The 4801-nt window shown below is 35.6% G+C and overlaps 1 annotated feature.

Annotated features, from left to right (window-relative positions):
- Window positions 1994-2980: an enhancer, noted in NCBI's record as "OCT4-NANOG hESC enhancer chr18:28343574-28344560 (GRCh37/hg19 assembly coordinates)". NCBI's record gives its function as "activates a minimal SCP1, AML or CMV promoter by ChIP-STARR-seq in naive and primed H9 embryonic stem cells {active_cell/tissue: H9 hESC(naive and primed)}" and the evidence as "EXISTENCE:reporter gene assay evidence [ECO:0000049][PMID:30033119]".

Here is a 4801-nt window from a genome sequence, read left to right on the forward strand (position 1 = left end):
ACCCTACTCACTTCAAGCCTTCTCCTAGCCATCACCTGTGCCCTGGGCCATTGTCTCTTCCCGTGGACCACTTCCACAAGATATACCATCTATGTGTCTTTCCTTTATATTCTCCACATTACAAAAGTTGCAAGGAAGTTATACGGTCCAACATTTTTGCCGTGGAAGATTTATAATTGTTCTTTCCTTCTTTTCTTCCTCTCTTTACATCCCTTTCAATATGAGACTGCTAGATGAAATTTTTCTCCTTCTCAAAATGTCCTTGTTTTATGCTGCCTTAAACTGCTATCACTGGCCATGTCTTATTCATCTCATTTTTCCTGGGAAAGATTATTTTTCCTGGCATAAAAATATTATTTATTTATTTCTGCTTGCCTCTCTGATTGAATGATGGCAAGTCAAGAAGATGGGTGGTGAACCGGTGCTCTCCACTTCATTCTTTTGCAATACTAAATTTCTATTTCTCCATTTGCCTTAATTGGGTGGACATTACTTTAAATTTTCTCATAAGGAATTGGTAAAATATACATGGTCTTAGGTTACATTTTTCACAGATCCATTTCTTCTTTGGAATTTTTATATTACTGTTTTTATATCTTCCCTCTTATTTTGTGATACCCAATTAGAGATATAAGAGATCAGGCTACCTATTCTAAGTTATCCTCCTGAAATTTTATTACAATTTACATCTGTGGAATTAGCCCATCAAGGTAAAGATGTCATCTATTTAATATCTTGACTGGATAGTGATATTCTAAAGGAAAAAAAAATAATGAACTTTGTTCCATTGCAATTTATTCTATCTATACACTTTACCAGCTATATATATAGATTAAAACAGCATTTCTGGATTTGTCTAGGAATTTAAGCCTGTTAATGATACAATGTTCAATTGTCCTCAGAGTACAAATTGACACAATGGAAATTGTCCTTCCTAGTAGGAGATTTTTAACCAATCAGTAGTTGTCTTATAAACTTTCCATTTTAAAGAAAATAGAAGATCTGAACTTTTTTGCCATAAGAGAATACCTTGCCCTCATTCTCTAAGTATGATTCTACTGACACTAAGAAGCTTATGACAATGTAATGTCTGGGTTTTATCCTTTTATTATGTGTCTTGGTTTTCTTTCTATGTACTACCTATTGCCCATAATTTTCTTAGGAACAGCTCCTACAAAACTGTTGCTATGCTGAATAACTCTGTTACGACCTGAAAATAATATCTGTGAATTACTTATCCCTGAACAGTAAAATCTCGCTTTGCCACATTCTTTTCAAAAAAAGAATAAAAGCACAAAGATTTTATGAAGTCACTAGACTATTAGGATACATTTAAAATTTTGTATGATCTGGCTTGTTTTATGACACCTATTTTAATTCTTCATTAAAGGGGATCAAAACTGAACTTTGACCATATTAAAGGAAGGACTCGGAAAAGATTGAGATGATTTGCCTTAGAGCTTTAGCAGAATACTGAGAACCTCAGAAATGTAATTTAATTATGCATGGTAAGAAAATGCCAGAATTCACAGGCGACTCCCAGGTCAAGGAAGCAGTGAGTTAGCCCTGGCTGAAAATTTATGTAGTCATATTCTTTCCTTAGACTTTCCTTTCAAGTTTTATAAGTTTGAGTACTATTCATATTCAATACATATAAACTACTATTCATATTTAGAGAAGAAGCACTTAAATGTACCTGATAGGAAACTATCTGTTTTATCTTAGTGGAAAAATCTCCTAGAGGAAGGGACCACTGTGTGAGAAGATGGAACAGTGGAGAGCACATTTTGATAGACACATTCAGACACTGTCTCTCCTGGCCCTGGGATTGTCACTGAGAAAACTGTAAGGGAATTTTATCTGTTCCAAGAGAAGGACAGATGGCCTCAGGAAGTTCAAAAGGGATGAAGGGTAGAGGGCTTGTGAGGCATATTAGAATTGTATATTTCATGTGACCTAAATTCTTCTCCTTTGTTTCTCTCAAAATTCTTTAGTAAAATCTACATTATTCACTGGTACTTTGCAAAATCAGCTTTCTGTAATTTGATAAAAATATTGTCTCAATGTTGGCACAGAGTAAAAATAGAGGCTGCCTCCAGAACAGCCAAGCATAACTGGGTTAAATGTAGCACAAAATGCAGAGATTGATAAAAAGCAGCAAAAATAAATCTTGAGTCTCAAACTCTGTTTGCTTGGATTTGTAGAAAAGCTGAGAGCTGGAAAAATCTCTTAGCCAGAACAAGGACATTAGGAGCTTCTCTTTTACCACTGCAGCTGACACAATACTGGGGGATCACCAAAATGCTATAGACACTGCTGAGAAGTATTTACTTACAACCAGAAACATCAGGGTAATGATGACCAACACAGCCTTAAGGATCCCCTCAGCTTGATGACACATTAAATAGGTTTCTTCCTGATTGTAAGTCCGTGACCTTCCTTTTCTTAGAGCATTTACCATTTACTTTAGAAAACTTGTAGTTGTAAATTCTTTCTGCCGCTTTGAAAGGAATGTAAATCTCCCAGCCTACCAGTTTTACAGCCCAGGAAATGTCTTTCTCAAGGACTTGGAAACAATCTCTTTGAAATGTAAATACTGAAGGGGACTGTGGGAGGGTAGGAGACTAACTTGAATGGGCACCAATTAGCAAACACAGAGGACCTAATCACAGAGAAACACAGTCTCACACTCAGGAATAACATAGTGTGCTCCACAACTCCCATTCGTCAATAACCCACTAAATGTCCCCTAGTGCTTGTCCACCACAGCACTTAAAAACCCTTCACCTTTTGTGTCCATGGAGTTAAGTATCCAGACTGGGTCTTTGTTCCTTCTCTAGTTGCTGGTAGTAATATCAAAATGAAATAATTCTGTTTACTCATCTCTGGAACTTTTTTTTTTAACAATGTTTAATTAGTTCTACAAGGATAAAAGAAGCATATTTAAGTGTGCCTTCAAAAAAAATAATAAAATAAATAAGAAAAAAACGAATTTAGAAAATAACCAACTATGAGCAGCCAAGCTTTATTGTTTTTAAATATTTATTATAATGTAATCTATAGTTTATACCTTTCCTATAAGTTATTATTTAAGAATTGTTCAGTTATTTTAAGAGCTCTAATTTTGCAGAAAGAAGGTGGATTCATTTTGGACTAACAAACTTCAGAAAGTTTAGTTATTATCTTAATGTACACCACTTAGCAACACATCTGAATTGTAAATCTGTGCTTAAAAAATAATATTTAAGAAAATATGTCCAGGTACATTTGCATAGCTGAAGTCTCAGAATTCATTATTTTCAATAGCAGCTCTAAAGATTAAATTTAATAATGCAGGTAAAGTGTTTAGCACAATCCTTGGTACCTAAAACATGCTGAAATCTTAGGCAAGTCTTTGGTCTCCTATGAGCCTCAGTTGTTCAACTATCTAAAGGAGATAGTAACAATACCTATTTTATAAGATAATTGTAAGGAATAAAGTAGATGATCTGTTTAAAGTACTTAGCAGATTACTAGGCACATACTAAAGTTTAGTGTGTACTTTCCTTAGGATTTTTATTAATGTGAATTTAGGATTAATATGAATTTAGAACCAAGTTCATCACATCCACTTAGAGATTGCTTCTCCAATCATCCCTCAGGTAAGAAGTAATCAGTTGCTGAATTTGCTCTCCTAACCCTATATGTCGGTGCCATCAATACTTTCAGAAATCCAAAGAGTGAGACTCATTGTGATGAGCAATGAGCATTTCAACGGGTGTTGGAAACTCCATATTGTGCGATATGTTTTATGTGATTGCTCAAGAGCTTTCAGGAATCTAATCAGCTTTCAGAAGCCTAAATTCCATATTGTGCAATATGTGTTATGTGTTAGCTTAAGAGTTTTTAGGAGCCTAGACCTAGGTCAATCCACCCAACTACTTTCTTCGAGACCCTTCCAACATCAGCCTTCCTCCAGTGCCCAGGCTCTTAGATATTCATGCAAATGGCCAAACACAAATCATTAGAATTTCTTCAGACAATTTCCTCTTAAAAGACAGGGATATTCAGTCATTTATTAGAGAGTTTTCCAGTTTCCTGAGGCCTCTGCCTCATATTAAGAGGAATAACTTCACTTTTCTCAATCATTGGCTTAATATCTTTGACAAAAGATCACCAGCTCCATGGAAATTTTTCTCTCAGTATTTCTGTGATACTCTGATTCTTCACATATGCTTAGCAATGCATCTGTTTGATCCAGCACCATGTTTTTCAGGCAGGGGTGGCACTACAGGGTCTACCAGTGTGCCATCAAATACTTCTGTGGTCCCTACAACTTACGGTTTTCTGAGAGCAGCATGTGATAAAGTGGGAGAATGAGTTATAGATTTGTTTTCAGCTTTATTAATGGAGACTCATGGTAGTGTTGACTCTGCCCCCATAATAATGGTCTTGGGCCAAACAATTCAATATCAAAAATGATGTACTTGTAAAGTGTAGTCTTCTCATTAAATTATATGCAATGATGATGGCTACTTCTTTCTTCCAATTGAATAAATTTCCCTTAGAGATAACTCATTCCTGACGTAGCTGGAACACTGGCAACAAACCAAGTGTTAAAAGAAAACTTCAGCCAAAATAAATTTAAAGGAGTTTAATTGAGCAATGAATGATTCATGAACTGGGCAGCCCCCAGAATCACAGCAGATTCAGAGAGACTCCAGTGATGCCTCCTGGTCAGAACAAATTTATGGACACAAAAAAGGAAGTGACATACAGAAATTGGAGGTAAGGTACAGAAACAGATGAATTGATTACAGGT

The sequence above is a fragment of the Homo sapiens genome, chromosome 18 (assembly GCF_000001405.40).
Source record: "Homo sapiens chromosome 18, GRCh38.p14 Primary Assembly".
NCBI lineage: Eukaryota > Metazoa > Chordata > Mammalia > Primates > Hominidae > Homo > Homo sapiens.